Source organism: Homo sapiens, chromosome 6 (assembly GCF_000001405.40).
Source record: "Homo sapiens chromosome 6, GRCh38.p14 Primary Assembly".
NCBI lineage: Eukaryota > Metazoa > Chordata > Mammalia > Primates > Hominidae > Homo > Homo sapiens.
In genome coordinates, this window is record NC_000006.12 from 147,292,528 (window position 1) to 147,313,815 (window position 21,288).

Here is a 21,288-nt window from a genome sequence, read left to right on the forward strand (position 1 = left end):
TTTTTTAAGGAAATCCCCTGCCACCAATTGATTTTTATTTGTTACATTTGTCCTATGGCAAAGGAATTAAAATAGGAAAAGCATGGTAGCAAAGAAAGAAAAACAGGAAGAAAATCTGAAAAAAAAAATCTATGATTATAATACAAAATGAATTGGCTAAATATTTAAATTAATAGTGACTAATTAGGTTCTATTCTTATCTAGTTATTTTAACAAATATTGACTGGCAACAAAGGCAGCAGTTCAGGGAAGATTTTTTCCTCTGTGCTTCACCTGTTCCAGTTTTTACTCCTAAATAATGTTAATATTTATGAGTTCAGGTTTCTTCAAGATGGCAGTAATACTTTTCCTTTCATAGAATTAGAAATGAAAATTTAAAATGTTGCTCTTTTGTAGGCATTTGTAAATACAGTCATCCACTACCTAATAGCATCATGATCAGTGGTGGACTGTATATACAATGACGGTCCCAATAAATTATAATATTGTACTTTACTGTACCTTTTCTATGTTTATATACACAAATACTTACCATTGTGTTACAGTTGCCTACAATACTTAGTACAGTAATATGCTATATAGGTTTGTAACCTAGGAGTAATAGGCTATACAATATAGCCTAGATATGTAGTATATCATCGAGATTTGTGTAAGTTACACTCTATGATGTTCATACAATGACAAAATTGTCCAATGATGCATTCCTCAGAAGGTATCCTTTGTTGTTAAATGACGTAGTTATACTGTTAACTGGATCAGTAAGATCACCATTTTGTAACAGTGTTCTCTACTTTCTCAATTTCTTTTGTCACCTAAGATGGGAAATTCAGTAAATTCAACATATTCTTCTTTTCTCTCAGTCCCTGGCCTCTTTCCTTGAAATAGCTTTCCACATTATACTATGCAGCCTAAATCGAGAACTGTGCTACCCACTCCAGCTAGAGCAGAATCAGCCTCTATTCATTAAGCTGGGCAGCACTCATCTTTTTCCTGTTCCTATCAGGTATCATAAGCAGATGCCAACAGAATGTATTGTACAGTTCCTTTTGGCAAGTTACCAAATTTTATAAAAAGCCATCCTTTTATTCTCAGGGTCTTCTACATTTTCTTCTCTTTGCTTAGAAATAATTTGAGGTGGATTCCCTACCATCTTTTGTGGCTCAGCAAAAATATGCAACCTTAAAGATACTCTAGCCTCATTGGCCAGGTTAGGTCCTCCAATAATATACTCTCAAAACATGCAGTACTTTTTCTTTCTACAACCCATACATATCGTTAGTAATGAAATTGTTTATTGAATATATGTCACCCACATTAAACATTCACCTCAGTGAAAGCATGGTGGTGCTGAATGTGAAGAAGAAGATAGGCAGGTGTATTGAAAAGATAGTGATAAAGAGCTAACTATTAAAAGTGCTTAGTTTAACTCTGAGGCAAAGGCAAATTCTGACAAAAAATGGAATTGAGATGTTACATAGCTTTTATTTTCTGATGAGATAAAGCAAATAAAACTTAGATCTGGAGAAACCAGATGTTCTCTAGCATAGGGAAATAAAGTATTTTAGTGGCAGTTTTATTATGGAACCAGTTCTTTCTTTATAAGAAGTTAGAAATTAAATGTTAAGTCAATTCCATTGAAGTTGTTTCTTTGAGAAACTAATGTGAATCAGGTATGAAATCCCATGGTGAATGGCAGTCAGCACAGTGTTGTGTGAACTCCGGAGTCAGACTACTTGGGTCTGAATCCCACCTCAGGTGTTTACTCATTATGTAATCTTAGGCAAACCAAATAAGCCTTCTCTGCTTGTTGCTTTATCTGTAAGATGGGAATAATAATATTGCCTACCTCATTGAGTTGTTAAAAAATTAGATAAATATATAAAGCACTTGTAACGTGCTCTTTATACCAGTTGTGTCACATACACCACTGGTATATGTCTCACACATACTGGTTGTCTCAGATGTTTGATTACCTCTGACAAACACCTAAAATGCAGTTGTTCACTTATCGTGCTTCCACAAAGCAAGTGTACAAGTGGCAAGGTTGACCAAATTTTATAACTGAAGAATCTAGTATTCCTTCCTAAATTGAGAATCATATTTATCTGAAAGAGAAAGGCTGTGATTTAAAAAAGTATTTTAGTCCTTTTTGATGTCAAAAAAAATTTTTAGATATCACATATGATGGTTCATTAGTGGGTTGTGAAAATAGTTTTGCCAGTTGTGACCATCAATTTCTAACTTATAAACTAGAATAGGAAATAGAGAGCACTGCATATTTTAAGGGTAAATATTGATTCATGAAATTTTATTCAGTGGTATATATTTGTCTGTATACTGGATTATGAAGTAAAATGCACTTCTTCCTATGGGGCATTATTAAAATATTTGAAAGTCCCTGATTTAGTAGAAATAATTGGTGATTTGGATTATTAGACTGGGGTCCAAATCCCAGTTCTGCCACTTACTAACTGTATTATCTTTGGTAGGTTACCTAACCTCGCTGACCTTTTTACCTTACCTTAATAAAACAGAGACAATAATTCCCACTTTACAAAATTCTTCATGAAGGACTAAATGAAATAATATATGTCTGGCACATTATAGGTGTTTGATAACTCTAGTTTCTTTTCATTTCTACTTTACACTTTTCTTTTCACTAGTAGACTATATAAGAAGGTGTCAGTGGGGCCAGATTTTCAACAAGAAACAACTTTGGATGGGTTCAAATAGGTACTCAGATGAACTCTAGAGTTTTGAGCTACAGAGCATTAGAAGAGTTAGTTTTCTCCAGAAATGATCACCATTCAAATAATTACCAGCTTTGGGAAAAGCATCTCTTTATTATGGAACCTAAAAGCGAATATTGGGTCCTTGAGCAAGACGTCTGACTAGAGGTGCCTGGTGTTAATCACCATCCCCCCCACACACGCACACACAAAAGGACCAAAAAGAACAGACAACTAAAATTTGACTAGAGCCTCTGAAGGAAAGTGATAGAGCGCAGAAAGCGAGTGGCCAATTCCCCATGGAGTATGGCAACCCAGGATGACGGCATAGAGGGGGAGCAAAACACCCTGACTCTGCTGCCCTGTCTCCCACTTTGAGCCAGGAGGCACTTCCCCTTGTGGGGAAAACGTAAGCCATAGGCCCCCAACAGTCCCCATTACCACTGCAGGCACATGCAGTCCTTCTCTGATAGAATTCTACAGTACTCATAGGCCCTGAGCCCAGTTTGTAGAGCCTCAAGGAATTTCCATGAAGCTGCAATGCTCCAGAGAATGAACAATGTGTGTACCCTCACCACCCCATGACCCAAGCTGCTATAGTATGGTGCCATCTTGAAATTGGAGCCAGTGCTTGAGTGCTCTGCTCAGGGGACCAGTAGCCACTTCATTTGTCCACTCTTGAGGCTCCACTGTCATTCCACCATGCTCACATGGGTGACTACAATGCCATGATCCCAGCTGCTCAGTGCCTGTGGCCAGGAACAGTTGTGGCTCTGGTGCCCACACCCATACAGCATGCTACCCCCCAAAAAAAAACAGATGGTCCTGTACAATGAGGGAGGCAGCCCTGGGCTGCTGCAGTACTACATGTCCTTGCTCCTGACTGGAAAAACAGCCCAGCAGACCCTCACCTGGCAGATGAGTGCCTGAACCAGTTGAACTGGCATGAACCTGTGCCTTCAGTAGGAAAAAAAAAAGCTCAGCAAACCTGCCTTTACTAGGTTCACCCCCCAAGTCAACCTGAAAATCAGCCCATCAAGCCTAAACCTGGCTAAGCTGTACTCCTCTTGCCACAGACGTCTACAACCTAAGCCACTAAGGCACTCACAGACATGGCTGACATGGATTACAGCTGAAGAAATTGCATGGAGACTACATCATGTCTCCACCCAGAACCAAAGCCAACACACCCTACCCAACTAGCATAACACCCATATACAGGAATAAATCTTCCCCTAAAAAGCTACTCCATAAAATTGGAACAGGTGACTATTCAACCAAATGTGCAGATTCAGCATAGGAACACAAATATGAAAAAGCAAGGAAACATGACATCCCCAGAGGAACACAATAATTCTTCAGTGACAGAATCCAAAGAAGAGGAAATTTACAATATGCCCATAAAGAAATTCAAAATAATGGTTTCTTAAAAACAAAACTCAGCAAGATACAAGAGAATACAGTTAAACAATTCAACAAAATCAGAAAAAAAATAGGAAATTCAACAAAGTTAGCATTTTTGGAAAGTGCAAACAGAAATCTTGGAACTGAAGAACTTAAATGAAAAATACAATTGAGAGTTTCAGCAACAGACTACATCAAGCAAAAGAAAGAATTTCTGAATTTGAAGGCAGGTCTTTTGAAATAATCCAGCCAGAGGGTGGAAAAAAAATAAGAATAAAAAAGAATGAAGCAAACCTATGGAACTTAAGAGTTGCATTTAAATATACAAATATTCACATAATATTTATAGAGGGTGAGAAGAGATGGAGGAAAGGCGCAGAAAACATATTTAATGAAATAGTAGCTGAAAATTGCTCAAGTTGGGAGAGATATGTATATTCAGATCCAGGAAGCTCTGGAGTTTCAAATAGATTAAATTCAAAAGGTCCTCTCCAAGACATATTATAATCAAACTGTCAGAAGTCAAAGAGAATTCTAAAAGCAGAAAAAGTGCCTTGTCACATGTAAGGGTATCTTCATTAGATTATCAACGGATTTCTCAGCAGAAGCCTTGCAGGTTAGTAGAGAATGGATGGTATAGTCAAAATGCTGAAAGAACAAAACCTGTCAGCTAAGAATACTGTACCCAGCAAAGCTATCCTTCAGAAATGAACGTGAAATAAACTCTTTCCCAGACAAGGAAAAGCTGAGATAATTCATCACCACTAGATTGGCCTAACAAGAAATGATTATGCTGAGTCCTACAGCAAGAAGTGAAAAGCAGGTAATTACTGTCATGAAAACATCAGAAATTATAAAACTCACAGATAGAGATAAATTTGTAATCAAACTCGTAATACTACAATACTATGATGATGCTGTGTAAATCTTTCAGACCTCAACTCTGAAGGTTAAAAGTCAAAATAGTAATAACTACAGCCACAAGTAGTTGTTAAGGAGCACCCAATAAATAAGGAGATATATAACAAAAATGTTACTTTGTTGAGAGAAGGGTTGAGAAATGTTGAGAGAAGGGTAAAAGTCTAGAATATTTTTATGCAGCTAAAGTTAAGTTGTTATCAGCTTAAAATAGTCTGTTGTAACCACATGATTATTTATGTTACACTCATGATAACCACCAAGAAATAAATCACAGCAGATGCACAAACAAGAAAGAGAAAGGAATCAAAACTTAGTACCATAGAAAAACCATCAAACCACAAAGCCAAACAAGAAAGGAAGAATGTAACAAAGGATACAGAAAAGCAAGAAAGCAGTTAACAAAATGGCAAGAGTAAGTTTTACCTGTCAGTAATTACCTTGAATGTAAGTGGATTAAATTTCCCAATTATAAGAGATATAGCATGAATGAAAAAAGAAAAACTTTATGCTACCTACTATAGGCTCACGTCACTTGTACAGATACACATAGACTGAAAGTGAAAGTATGGAAAAAGATATTTCATGCAAACCGAAACCAAAAATGAGCAGGTTTATAAAATATCAGATAAAATAGGCGTTAAATCAAAAACTGTAAAAAATGACCAAAAAAGTCATTATGTAACAATGAAGGGATCAATTTAGCATGAGGATTTAAGAATTACAAATATATATGCATTGAACACTAGAGCACACAAATTATTACTACATCTAAAGGGAGAGAGAAACTGCAGTAGGTAAGTAGTAGAGGAATTCAACACCCTACTTTCAGCAATAGACACATCATCCAGGCAGAAAATCAGCAAAGAAACAATGGATTTAAATTGCAATGTAGACGAAGTGGATCTAACATACATTTATAGAATATTCCATCCAATAGCTGCAGATGCATATTCTTCTGCACTGTGCATGGAACATTCTTGAGGAGAGATCATATGTTAGGTCAAGAGCAAGTATTAACACATGTGAGAAGATAGAGATCATATCAAGTAGCTTTTTTGGCCACAGTGGTATAAAACTAGAAATGATTAACAAGAGAAACTTTGGAAACTGTAAAAATACATGGACATTACTCATCATGCTCTGAATAGCCAATGAGTCAATAAAGACGTTGAAAATGGAAAATAAATGATTCTTGAGACAACATGGGAAAACACAATATACTGAGGCCTATGGAATACAGCAAAAGCAGTCCTAAGAGGAAAATTTGTAGCAATAAATACTTCCATCAGAAAAGCACAATAATCTCAAATAGACAACCTAACATTGCACCTCAAGGAACTAGAAAAAAGTGAACAAACCCAAAATTGGTAGGAAGAAAGAAATAATAATTATCAGAGCCAAAATATACAAAATAGAGACTAAATAAAAATACAAAGTAGCAATGAAACACAGTTTGTACAAAATAGAGACTAAATAAAAATACCAAATATCAATGAAACACAGTTTGTTTTCTGAAAAGTTAAAATCAAACCTTTAGTAAGATTAAGAAAAAGAGATGACTCAAATTAATAAATTCAGAGATGAAAAAGGAAACATTACAACCCGTACAATAGAAACGATCACAAGAAACTATGATGAATAATTATATGCCAACAAATTGAGTAATCTAAAAAAAAAAAGTGTATGAAGTTCTGGGCACATACAGCCTACCAAGATTGACTTAGGAAGAAATGGAAAATTTCAACAGACCAATAACAAGCGAGGGAATTGAATCAGTAATAAAAGTAGTGTCCCAGTAAAGAAAAGCCCAGACCTGGACATATTCAGTGCTGAGTTTTAGTAAACATACAAAGAAGAATATCAGTCTACCTCAAACTGTTTCAAAAAATTGAAGAGAAGGGAATTCTTCCAGACTCATTATACGAAACCAGCATTATTCTCTTACCAATACTAATTCCTGAAACTATTCTAAAAAATTGAAGAGAATCCTCCCTAACTCATTCTATGAGGCCAGCATCACCCTGATACCAAAACCCAGTAACACACAACAAAAAAAGAAAACTATCAACAGTACCTCTCTGATGAACATAGATGCAAAATTTTTTAACAAAGTACTAGCAAACTGAATTAAACAGTACATTAAAAAGATCATGTACCACAATCAAGTGGGATTCATCCTAGGGAATTTCTTGTGCACTTTCACCAGTTCTGTCCAACATAGTACTGGAAGTCTTAGCCAGAGCAATTAAGCAAGACAAAGCCATCCAGATTGGAAAGGAGAGAGTCAAATTATCCCTGTTTGCAAACAGAATGACGTTTTATTTATATAGAAAATCCTAAAGACTCAACTGAAAAACTGTTAAGACTAATAAGTGAAATTAATAAAGTTGCAGGATAGAAAATGTATGGTAGTCAGTAACATTTCTATATGCTAATAGTGAACTAACTGAAAAAGAAGTCAAGAAGACAATCTCATTTACAATAGCTACTGAAAAAAGATAGCTAGGATTAAATTTAACAAAGGAGATAAAAGATCTCTACACTGATAACTATAAAACATTGAGGAAAGAAATTGAAGAGCACAAATGGAAGTGTATCTTTTTCATGGATTGGAAGAATTAATATTGTTAAAATGTCCACACTAACCAAAATGAGCCACAGATTCCATGTATTTCCTATCAAAAACCAATGACATTGTTGACAAAAATAGGAAACTTTCTAAAATTTATATGAAACCACAAAAAATGTAAATAGTGAAAGTAATATTTATCCAAACAAGTAAACACAAAACACGGTGCTGAAGACATCACACTACCAGACTTCAAAATATGCTACAAAACTGTGGTAATCAAAACAGCATGGTATTGGCATAAAAAGAGATGCATAGACCAATGGTGTGGAATAGAGAGCCCAGAAATAAATCTGTGTATCTATAGCCAGTTGATTTCCAAGAAAGATACAAAGAACAAAAATTGGAAGGACATTCTTTTCAATAAATGCTGCTGGGAAAATAGGATATCCACATGGATAAGACTAAAGCCACACTCCTTTCACCAAACACAAAAATCTGCTAAAAAATGTATTAAAGACTTAAATGTAAGACCTGAAAGTATGAAACTACTGGAAGAATACATGGGAAATGCTTCACGATATGGGACTGGGCAAAGATTTTTTTGGATAGAACCTCAAAAGTGTAGGCAACAAAAGCCAAAATAGAAAAATGGAATTACATCCAATTAAAAAGATTCTTCAGAGCAAAGGAAACAGTCAACCAAGTGAAGAGACAGTCTACAGAATGAGAGAAAATATTTGTAAACTATACATCTAACTAAAGATTAATATACAGAATATATAAGGAACTCAGTTCAATAGCCAAAAAAAAAAAATCTGATAAAAATTGGGCAGAAAACCTTTAACAGACATTCCTCAAAAGAAGAAATACAAATGACCAATCAGGCATATGAAGAAATGTTCGACATCACTAATCATCAGGGAAATACAAATAATACCACAATAAGATATCACCTCACTCCAGTTAGAATGGCAGTTATCAAACAAGACAAAAGATAAAAGTGTTAGTATATGGAGAAAAGGGAACCTATACATATAGTTGATGGAATGTAAATTAGTGCAGCCATTATTGAAAATCATATGGAGGTTCCCCAAAAAGTTAAAAATAGAACTACCATATGATCCAACAATCTCATTACTTTATGCATATCTGAGGGAAATGAAATCAGTATGTTGAAGCAATATCTGCACTCCCATGTTCCCTTTGTGATTATGGCACTTGGTCTTACGTCTGTTAAGAAAAAGTCCACAGGCATATATGTATGTAATTTCATCTAATGAGTAAAGATCTCTTTGAGTCTATGGACTTTTACAATTTGAAGTGCCTCATCAGTTAACCTTACCCTTTTTCATGTTACTTTTGGTATGTCAGTCAAAAAGTTTTAACCTTAAATGGTTGATTTTTGCTTTATCACTGTCTTCAGAAATAGTCATTCTACAACCCAGCCCAGATTTATCTATATTATCTTTAGTCTCTCAAAACTAGAATATTTTCTCCCAGTCTTAATCCCCAAATCTCACACCTAACTATGATAAATTGCCATTCACTTTCTTGTTTTTAAGATAAGATTTTGACTTGCATTTGCTTAGTACAATTCTGATGTCTTCTCCCTACACTGTATAATAAACTAGTGGATAATTCTACCTGTAGTAAGTGGTCAAATACAGGGAGCAATCAAGCCAGCTCACATGGTGAGATTACCACACTGCTTTGTGTTCTCGTGACTTCAGACCTGCTACTGCTGTATTTTTAATCACTTGTCTGGGGAAAGGTGACTATTATAGCTTTGTGTTATAATCCCGTATTGCCAGAAAATTATGTCTACTAGATTGATAACTCTGTCTTTTGACATTAGAACACCTCTTTTAGTAGCTGTGTAAGTATATGCCCAAGATTGGACTTATCCATGACTCAATTTGAAGTGCTAAAATCCTTGCCCCTCTATTTCTAGGCTATTCCCTATATTTGTTTTTTAATTCATCACTGTTGAATTTAAACTGATATTACATATATAATGAAGCCTAATGTTATATGCCTACTGTTAGCACCTACAAAATGATTTCCTGCCAGTTCCGAACCCTTTAGAGTCAAAACTCCCAACACTGGTATTTTGTCTTGAAAGACACCAAAATAAACAAGTAGAAAAGAGGGCTAGGAGATTCTGAACAGGCACACACCTACAAAAAGAAAGCCAGCATAATACGCTCTGAGGCTAAGATAGTTTGGTTTGATAGTTCGGGGCTACAGAACAATTGATGAGAATGATAACAGAAGGAAGGCCAGGAGATATATTGTAGGAAGGATTAATTTGTGAGAGTACCTTATTAGCATCATTTCAAACACAAGCCAGGATGCAGGGACATTAAAAGAAAGAAAAACAAGGCCAGGCATGGTGCCTCATGCCTGTAATCCCAGCACTTTGGGAGGCCTAGGTGGGCAGATCATGAGGTCAGGAGTTTGAGACCAGCCTGGCCAATATGGTGAAACCCCGACTCTCCTAAAAATGGAGAAATTAGCCAGGCATGGTGGCATGTACCTGTAATCCCAGCTACTCAGGAGGCTGAGGCAGGAGAATCACTTGAACCCAGGAGGCGGAGGTTACAGTGAGCCAAGATGGTGCCATTGTACTCCAAATTGGTGGATTCACAAGGGAAAATGCATACTGGCGTATAACATGTATTTGGTGAGATACAGATATCAATTATGTCTTTATTGATTTTTATAATCAGGTTTTTTACATAGTAAATACAAATATAGGAGTGAGTATGCTTTCCTTTTTGATGTCATAGATAATTCAGTAGTGAAAATCTTTTGTTGAGCTATTTCATTATAATGAATTTCCCATGGTGAAATTTTGAAGGAAAGAGGTTTTCCGTGGCTCTCGACAAATTGCCATATTGCTTTTCAGTAGTATCTGTGTATACTTTAAAGAAGTGAGTATAAAATATACCAATTTCATAAATAATCTGATCAGTATAGGATGATTTTTGTTTTGTCAATTTAGTACTGATATGGTTTGACTGTGTTCTCACCCACATCTCATCTTGAGTTGTAGTTCCCTTAATCCCCATGTGAAGTGGGAGGGATTTGGTGGGAGGTAATTGAATCATGAGGGTGGTTTCCCCCATGCTATTCTCATGATAGAGAGTAAGTTCTCATGAGATCTGATAGTTTTATAAGAGGCTTCCCCCTTTGCTCGGCTCTCTGTCATGTGAAGAAGGACATATTTGCTGCACCTTCCACCATGATGGTAAGTTCCCTGAGGCCTCCCCAGCCATGCTGAACTGTGAGTCAATTAAACCTCTTTTCTTTGTGAATTACTCAGTCTCAGATATGTCTTTATTAGCAGCAGGAGAACTAACTAATACAGTAAATTGGCACCAGGAGTGGGGCACTGCTGAAAAGATATCCAAAAATGTGGAAGTGACTATGGAACTGGGTAACACGCAGAAGTTGGAACAGTTTGGAGGGTTCGGAAGAAGACAGAAAGATGTAGGCGAGTTTGCAGCTTCCTAGAGACTTGAAGGACTCAGAAGACCGAAAGATATGGGAAAGTTTCGAACTTCCTAGAGACTTGTTGAATGGGTTTGACCAAAATGCTGATAGTGATGTGGACAGTGAAGTCCAGGCTGGGGTGGTCTCAGATGGAGCTGAGGGACTTGTTGGAAACTGGATCTATGGTGAGTCTTACTGTGCTTTAGCAAAGAGACTGGTGGCTTTTTGCCCCTGTCCTAGAGATCTGTGGAACTTTGAACTTGAGAGAGATTATTTGGTGTTATCTGGTGGAAGAAATTTCTAAGCAGCAAAGTGTTCAAGGGGAAGCAGAGCATAAAAGTTTGGAAACTTTGCAGCCTGATGATGTTCTAGAAAAGAAAAACCCATTTTCTGGGAAGAAATTCAAACCTGCTGCAGAAATTAGCGTAAGTAATGAGGAGCTGAATGTTAATCAACAAGACAATAGGGTAAATGCCTCCAGGGCATGTCACAAACCTTCACAGCAGTCCCTTCCATCACAGGCCCAGAGGCCTAGGAGAAAAAAATGTTTTCGAGGGCCAGATCCAGGGTCTTGCCGCTTTGTGCAGTCTCTGGACTTGGTGCCCTGTGTCCCAGCCATGGCTAAAAGGGGTCAACATAGAGCTCAGGCCATTGCTTCAGAGGGTGCAAGCCCCAAGCCTTGGCAGCTTATATGTGGTGTTGGGTCTGCAAATACTCAAAAGTCGAGAATTGAGGTTTGGGAACCTCCACCTAGATTTCAGAGCATGTTTGGAAATCCCTGGATGTCCAGGCAGAAGTTTGCTGCAGGGGTGAAAGCCTTGTGGAGAACCTCTACTAGGGCAGTGTGGATGGGAAATGTGGAGTCGGTGCCCCCACACAGAGTCCCCAGTGGAACACTGCCTAGTAGAGCTGTGAGAAGAGGGCCACCATCCTCCAGACCCCAGAATGGTAGATCCACTGACAGCTTCCACCATGCACCTGGACAAGCTGCAGACACTCAACACCAACCCATGAAAGCAACCAGGAGGGGTCTGTACCCTGCAAAGCCACAGGGGCAGAGCTGTCAAGACCATGGGAACCCACCTCTTGCATCAGAGTGACCTGGACGTGAGACAAGAAGTCAAAGGAGATCATTTTGGAAATTTAAGGATTAATGATGGCCCTTTTGGATTTTGGATTTGCATGAGGCCTGTAGCCCCTTAATTTTGGCCAATTTCTCCCATTTGGAATGGGAGAAATTGGAATTTACCCAATGCCTGTATCCCCATTGTATCTAGCTAGAGTTACGTGGTTTCAGATTACATCCAGAGTGTGAGGGGGTATGAGGCTTGGATTGAGATCCTCAATAGCATCCTCACATTCCCCCCACAAACCCAGTGATAGAGTAAGTCAAGTAATAGTATTAGAAGTCTCAATTTTTGTGCTAGGCTAGTGTTGCTCAAATTATGGCTGTAAAGAGTTCCTGTGTGCTAAATGATCTAAGACAAGATAAGTACAGAAATCAAGACTGAGTGTAGACACTTGAATGCCACTTGACATTGTTGCAGCATTTACATACGTATTCACAGTTTGTGTTTGTTTGTTTTACAAAAGCATAGCTTTTCAACAAATTTAAAAAAAAATTTAAATACTTCTTGACCACAGTTTGGAAAGCAGTGTTCAAGGCAACATGTATTTAGACAAGTACATCAAATTCATCTTCTGATATTTTCAATTTTATTTCTTTTTTCCTCTCAGCCCTTCTATTAAAGAGATTTTTGAAAATGTTGTTTTGGATTATTTCATTTTGATTTGGTAGATTAAAAAACTTAGTAGAAAAAGATTATTAATATTTTTCGAGTGTCCACAAGTTTGGTTTTTACTCTAACAATTTATGCATATGAACCTATTTTAATTGACATATAATCTGCAAAATAAATCTAAACTTTTTTATTTTGTGTGAAAAATAATTTAATACCAAATAGGAGAGTGTGAATTTCTATTAGACTTTTCAAATTAGGTATTAATAGTTTATGTTTGAAATTTGAGTTAAGAATTTTAGGAATTTGATATAGGGTCTTGTAAAATCAATAATTATTTATTCATTCAGTAAATACATATGTCTCTGGACTTCCTGCTAAGCACTAGGAGTAGAGTGGTAAAGTTTAGGTATTAGTTACCAGGTAGCTCTCAAGAGCTAAGGTATAATTCTGCTTACCAAACATATAGTTATTAAGTGTTCCCTCTAAAATGGAATTGTACATTTCCATTTGAAAAAAAATTGTTGAGGGTTTGGTAAAATCAGTAATGCAGACAATTAGTAATGTAGACAATGTCATATGAGATTGACTAGAGCTTAAATCCCAATTTTTTAAATACATGGAGATATTGAATAATATAGGTACTAATTATGCAGAACAATTATTAAAATGGCACAGCAATTAAATTCCACCCTGCTGTAGGTATGTTCCCCAAATCTGGCCATGTGTGGGAAGCATCTGAAATCCTGGGCCCCATGCTCCAGCATTTCCAGTCCATTAAGTCTGGTGAGGCAGTGATCAGCTCAGCTGTAGGGTTAGTGGTATTTTGAATATTTCTTTGACAAGCACCTTGGGGTACCTAGCTGTGGTTTTGGGGATGCAGAGCTAGAACATGCAAAGCAGATAAACATTGACAGTGAAATGTGGTAATGCTGAGTAGAGGTATACAGAAGGTAGCTAGGAACATGGAGGGGGCCCCCAACTCTGCCAGGGTGGCTGGGCTGGGAAAGGTTTCTCTGAGGAGGTGATGATTGGAATGAGTTTTGAAGGAGGAACAGGAACTGACTAAACAGAAAACGAGGAAAAGTACATCTGTCAATGAACAACTCAACTGAATGCTATCATACAAAAGTAATTGTGGAGATGAAAAGGAGGAGACAGATTCTAGAGATCCTAATGGAGTAAACAGGATGTGTCTGCATGATTTGGAGTCCTTTCACCCATTATCATGTCCTGGCTTACTCACTGTCCTGCAGTCCCAATGGCCTGTTAGTTCCTCAGGTACACCCAGCTCGTTTCTGACCTCTGGTCTTTGTGGTGGCTATTCCTGCTGACTAGAGTGGACCTCCTTCTTCCACAAACCCAGTTCTTTGAATGGCTGGCTCCTATTCATTTAGGTCCCAGCCCAACTGCCATCCCTTCTGGGGACTGTCCTCGTCATGCTGTCTCACTATCGCTCCTGTGGCCCTGCCCTCACAGTCAGCCTACCACTGAGCCTTGTATTGATCTTCATAATATTAATACCTATCAGTGTGTTGTCTGCGTAGACTAGACATAGGAGCACTGCTTTATTCCCTGGAACACAGGTGCTAAAAATACTTCAGTGAATGAATATGTAGTATTATGGAGCTGAGTTTAACAAATTAGTTATACAAATGGCTTTTTGGATAGAAGTGGCACTTTTAAGTGAAGAAGGCATCATATGGAAACATAGCTTCAGCTGAACCTATTGTTAAGGCAGGCCTGGGAAGGTAATCATTGGCAGAAAGCGTGTTTACTCCATCAAGTGTCTAGTTTCTTAAAAAATCTAATCAAACTAGAAGGCTTCCAAACTGACGTCTTTCTAACCTGGCTGTCTTCCAAAATGAGAAGGGTCTTGGTTAACACCCAATATCATTAAAAGGGATTCTACTAAAATTCTACTTAAAGTAATCAAGTAAAAACTATTATCTCTAGACCTTATGACATCAAAAGACTTACCTTTTTATTTTAAAAGAATATTAATATTCTTCACCTTTGTAATTCATGTTACCTAGAAATAGTTGAGATCCCTGGAACTTTTAATACAATTCCAAATGCTTACAAAAACTTTAAATTTTCATAATTTTTGCTGTGAAGTGCTAAAATATTGAACTTTATTTTATCATTGTATTTATGACTAATTTCTTTTTTAAGATAATTATTAATATTTACTCTTCAAGTTTGAGGCATTATAATGAAAAAACATATAACCTGTGAAGGCTCACGGGTTGGATGGTTCTTGCCTGGCAATCAGACAGACAATTTTAAAGAGACAGCACATAAAATAACACAAGTAAAATAGATTTGGCAAATGTTTATTATTATGAAAAGGAAAATTACCTTGGTGACAGGTCAGTTGGCATTTCTTTCAAACTGTTTCTCTTTTGTAAATATAAGTTTAGAAAATAAGTACAGGCAGCCTACAAAGCCACGGAAGAAAAACTTACTTGCCTTCCGAGGATAAACCTACCTAGCTACCATGGTGTCAAGATTGTATAAACTGGTCACCTACCCGGTTTGATCTCCCTGGGTGCTTTGTGGACATTTTATTCTGTAATGTACAGCTATAATCTCTCTTCATTGTTCTGGCATTAATAACACAGTTTAAAAAAACAGGTTATATTTAAAAGCACACTTACCAGCTGTTCTCGAAATATTACATATAGAATACCTGGCTCAAGTCTTCCATTCTAAAAATTTAACAAGTGTTAGTTCCCCACTGGTCCCTTCATCCCTGTCCTTGGATTATTTGAATTCAGTTGTATGTTGCATCTCAAGGTATAGAAGAGTGGAGATGTATTCTGTTTATTCGTTATATGTGATAAAAAGTGGAAGAAAATCAAATATACTTTCCTGAGCACGGTCATAATAATTGCAGTATGCTGAGAGGTTGAAACACTGAATGTATGGATATGGTTCTATTTAGGATAACATTTTAAGCTCCCTAACTGCTATTTAGCTAGAGAAACATTATCCAAATCAATTAGTGCTAAAAAATAAATGATAGTAAGGTAGCAAATGAGTAGTGCAACACACATTTCTACTCATTCATTCCTTTGAAACAATATTTAATTACTACCCACTATATGGCAGGTACTGTTCCAGGCACTGTTGTGGATGCAGCAATGAACAAATCACACAAAACCACTGCCCTCATGAAGCATACATTTTAATGAGAAAAACAGTAAGCAAAATAAATAAATTTGTGTAGTGATAATTGCTATGGAAAAAATAAAGCAAGGAAAGATACATAAGGGTGTAGTTTCATAAAAGTATTATGTACACAAGCACATACATCTATTGCATTGATATTTAAGTTTACTTATAAACTACATACCCATATGATTACCCATCTAATTAAATTTTAGTGAAGTTGATTTACTCTTGTTTTAGATAAAAATAAATATAATTTAGTGGTTTTAATGGGTGTTTTTCCCACACACCATGAAGGGAAATTTTCACAATAGATGATAATGACAATTTGATGATATAATAATTAAAAGTAGGTGACTCTTACTAAGGATGTGCTGAGCCAGGCACTGTCCAGTTTAAGAATTATCTGAGATTAGATACTTATCACTACATATCCATTTTATACATGTAGAAGCTAGGAACAGAGAGGGTAAGCAACATGCCAAAGATCATACAGAAATTAAGCCAGAGCTAAGATTTAAATGCAGTTGGGTTAGTTCCAGAACTAGCACTTTTAACCATTAGATATTATTACGTATGGCTTATAGATGTGAAGACTAAAAATTCTAGAGATGGAAAAGAAGGAAGTAACATCATGAATAATGGGTAAGGAGGAAGATAGATACACTGACCTTAGATTAAGCATTTAAAAACTAAGAAATCATAAATGGAGATACTTAAGAAAATAATATACAGAAAATTTAATTCATCTGTATAATGTACCATAAATAACTTCACCACCAATAAATGGAAAGACAAGTCAAATGCGTGGAAATATACTCAGACCATAATATGTGAAAAAATAAGCATATATTAATAGTTTTTGAAAATGAGTCTAGATAAATAATTTAGGTTTAATAATGACTAATAGAGAGAATGGGAAAATTAGTTATAACAGAGTTATGGGGCTAATTAGAATTATCAGGCTGGCAACTGATAAATGTGTGTATGGGAGCTATGGTTTGAGAATGCATCAGCCAAGGTTCTAGAAGAAATTAAGGCATGATTTGAGTGACTTCGCAGTTCTCTCAAAAGTGATTTGTATTGAGTACAATTCTTGATGCGTTCTTGAGAATTTAATCCATTACCTACAATGGATGCCTCAAGGCATTAAGATTCTCTGTGGGAGCTTCTATTGAGAAGGCCTGGTTAGGATTGGAAGTCAAAGCAATACATTTTAGAGACTTTAATCAGCAGAAAGCCAGAGAGAATTTTATGAAAATTTTATTTAGGAGATAAAGTTTTAGGGAGGTATAAAAGTTAAATTTAGTCAATGTTTATTTTTATTGCAGGTTAATTTTCAGCAATTCACTTGGGTCTTAACTAATCCAATTAAAAATTCCATGAGACAATTCAATTATATGATGTGTAAAAATGTTAGAATTTAAGATTTTGTTATTTCACTAAATTAAAAAATTATGATGTAGCAAGAAAATTATCTTTACTATGCCATTAATAATCTTAATATGTATTTTATTTCCAGGGAGCCTTTTATTATTTTATCAGGAGGTTTGTCATATGATACTGTAGGAAGAAGACCTTGCTTAACAGTGATGCATGGGAAAAGCACTGCTGTGCTAGAAATGGACTATTCAATTGTTGATTTTCTAACGCTGTGTGAAACACCATACCCAAATGGTAAGCTTTGCAACTTTAAAGCTCATTCTCTATAGAGAGCTGATATTAAAAAAAAAAAAAAGACCTAGGTTGTTTAGATAAAACTACTCATCCTATTGTGCTAATTCTTCTGGAGAAGAGCTGCTGCATTCATAATCTACAAACTTTATTTCAGAAGTGGTTTAATAAATTTAATCTGTTTTGAAGAATAAAAAAACGCTATTCATATTAAGAAACATTTTAAAATTCTGTTAAGATAGTAATGTATTAGTAAGGATTCTCCATAGACGCACACACTCATAGGAGAGAAAGTGATTGATTGATTGATTGATTGATTGATTGATTGATTTTAAGAAATTGGCTCACACTGTTGTGGGGGCTGGCCAGTCTGAAACCTGTAGAGCAGGCTAGCAGGCTGGAAATTCAGGAAGGCATTCATGTTGCAGTCTTGAGTCTGAAATCTATAGATTGAAATTTCAGACATGGTTTCTATGTTGCAATCTTGAGGCACAATTGCGTTTTTTTCAGGAAACCTCAGTTTGTGCTTTTAAGACGTTAAACTGACTGAATGAGGCCCATTCGTTTAGAGGGTAATGGGCTTGACTCAGAATCTACTGATTTAAATGCTAATCACATCTGAATATATGTATATATATGTATATTTTTTTTTCACAGCAATGTCTAGACTGGTATTTGACCAAACAGCTGGGGGCACCATATTATAGACAAATTGACACATACAATTAACCATCAGAGCTAGTGTATATAATTCAAGAAGAATTTAAATCTGGACCTTTTTTCACTTCAGTTGAAATTCATTGAGGTGTAAAGATGTAATGTATTTTACAGTTATTGACAGGCACATATGAAACATCCAAGAAAGATAGTATTATAGTAGAACTCTTTTGGGTTCCTGTGAGATTAAATGATAACTGTTCTTGTGTGTATTCAGATTTAAATTTTAGTTTTGTTGTCCATGTGCAGCTTTGAAATTTGCAATGCCATAGAAATTTCTGTCTTACTCATTTTTACAAAAGTAAAATAATTTTGAAATGGTCAGTAAATAGATGATCTCATAAAACTTACTAGCCTTAAATAACATGCATGAAGTATCATAGGATCAGAATGTTAAATACTCAAGAGAATGAAACTAAATAAAATCAAGCAAGAAACATTTATCTAATTTGCTGTCCACTTGCATTTTTGAAACTATAATTCATGCATTGTCCAATTCCAGATTTTCAAGAACCATATGCTGTGGTTGTTCTTCTAGAAAAGGATTTAGTACTTATAGACCTTGCACAAAATGGGTAAGAAATAAAATTTGGTGAGTGATTCTATCAGTATGTGGTTGAAAAAAGATGCCTTTTATCATAGCATTAGCTATTTCATTTCTTTGAAAACTCTACATTTATATCCATAACCTTGACCTCTTTTGAGAGCTCCAGACTCACATATCTACTTACTCAAATTTCTCTATTATGTTGAATCTCATAAAATTTTCATTTTTAGGTAAAAATTTGTTGTAGTTCTGAAATTTCACATGATTCAACCTGACACTTAGATATCCTGGGGCCACACAAAATCAGCACGTCAAAAATTAATCCCATCAGTATTTACCTCCAAAATAAGCTATTTTAGGCTTTCTACGTCTACTCACTCTCAGTTGCAATGTTTATACGTGCTTTTGCCAGATTCGTTTTACACACAGTTCCAATCTTGTACTATCCTCTTCAAACCATGGTTCAGTATTGTTTTTTGATTTAAAAACATCTGCTACTCCAAACAGTAGGAATTCAGGATTTCTTTCCAACCTGATCTCTGTCTTCTCACTAGTGTCTATTCCTTAGGAAAACAGAACTATGTATTCAACAGACATCACATTTCTATGTCTTCTCCTATGTAATTCCCAATACCTGAAACACTAGTTGTTTCACTGCCATAAAACTCTATATAACTTTCAAAGTCAACCTTCTTATCTTTTTCGGGCTTTTCCTATCCTCTGTTTACCAGATGTATTATATCTGATCTGTAACTTCACACCATAGCTTCTTTGTAACTTTTCATGGTATTTGCCATATTCTGCTTTTTGGATCATAGATGATAATGTTTACTTACAAATTATTTGAATGGAAGCACATTGTATTATTTATCTTTGGAGAAAGAATCATTAAGTATGGTTTTTAATTGAGTTTACTCATTCAGTATTGCAGTGTTTCTCAATCAAGGGTGATTTTTGCATTCCCTGCCCCCAGCCCCGCCCTTCTCCCACCCAGAGAATATATGGCGATCTCTGTGGAAACCTTTTCAGTGGGTTTGAGGGTGTTGCGACTGGCATCTAGTGGGTAGAAGACAGAGATGCTGCAAAACATCCACAGTGCATAGGACAGTTCCCTACAGTAGAACATTATCTCGTCCAAAATGTGAATAGTACTGAGGTTGGGCGACCCTGAATTAGGTGAACAGTATCATTTACCTGATGTTTAGGCAATTCTAAATTTACTTTAGTACCTGCTACTTTTACTAATCAATTGTGAGGAGTCTTTTCAAAATAACAAGATAATTTGAAAATATTATTTCTGTCCTAGAATAACTTATTCTTAATATGATTTTCTTTTATTTTTTTCCCTTAGGCAAGTTTTTCAAATAATTGAGACTTTTCACATGTGATCTGTACTGAGATACATTTAAGTCAAAGAAAATACTATGCAAGTAACCTGTGACTAGGCATTTTATTTAGCAAAAGTATCAGTTAAATGTATGGTAATAATAGAATCACTGAGCTAAGGAAATAATGTGTGTTATAAAGAGAAGAAAGTTGCTTGCCGTTTTGTCATTTTATGAATGCATGTTGTTTGTGTTTGGTCCTGGAGGTGGGAGTGGTGATAGTTGGGTTCATTTTGCAGTCTATAAGGGACTATTTGGAAATTTCTCTCTTCTGTTTTAAAAAATTGTCAGTAGTAGACTGATCTAATTTTTGCAAATTAGCCACTTTGCACTTTTTAAATTTTTTAGCCAGTTTCTGGTTTTCCAGACTATTCTCATTCTAAGGACTTTAAAATGAGAAAAGAAATATTTTATATTTAGATAGGATTCTACTTTAATTTCATGATTTTTAAAAGCATTTTTTGCTTTATTTAATAAAGTAACTTCATATCTAGAAAACATTTAAGGTAGAATTTTATTATGTATTATTACCAAAACAAGAAAAATATTCTGAATTAAATATTGGACTAGGTATCATGTTTATGGAGAGAAAAAGAATGGAACATTTGTTAGCTCTGCTGACATAAGGATGAGGTATGTGTTATTCCACCATTTGCTAGCAGGCATGCTTTTGACACATTATTCTCTGTAAGCCTTTGTTCTTCAGTAAAATGCCTATGTCGTAAGTTTGGTGCAAGAAGTAAATGAGATGTATATATTTAAAGCACTTAGTGTAGTGTATGGCATATGGCATGTAGTTGCAACTAGAGCCTTTCTGTTTACTATTCTAATTGAGCAATTTTCATTATAAAAGACTTCCATTTTTAAATATATTTACAAAAATTAAATCAATTTAATCTCTATGATAGAATGTATGTTTTTTAAAGTTTTT

The 21,288-nt window shown here is 35.7% G+C and overlaps 1 protein-coding gene across 16 annotated transcripts in view; it reads left to right on the top strand.

The window, feature by feature from the left end:
• STXBP5 (syntaxin binding protein 5) overlaps window positions 1-21,288 on the top strand; it is a 186,057-nt gene that overhangs the window by 88,111 nt on the left and 76,658 nt on the right. For 15 of the 16 annotated variants that reach the window (XR_007059202.1, XR_007059201.1, XR_007059203.1 and 12 more), the window contains 2 exons: window positions 17,557-17,711; window positions 18,928-19,000. Coding sequence is in view for 13 of the 16 variants with exons in the window: in XM_047418197.1 (XP_047274153.1) it covers window positions 17,557-17,711; window positions 18,928-19,000 (228 nt within the window). In the remaining 3 variants the exon portion in view is untranslated. Of the gene's footprint in view, window positions 1-15,983; window positions 16,066-17,556; window positions 17,712-18,927; window positions 19,001-21,288 lie in introns of those variants that run through there. The other variant, XM_047418201.1, reaches the window with a different exon arrangement.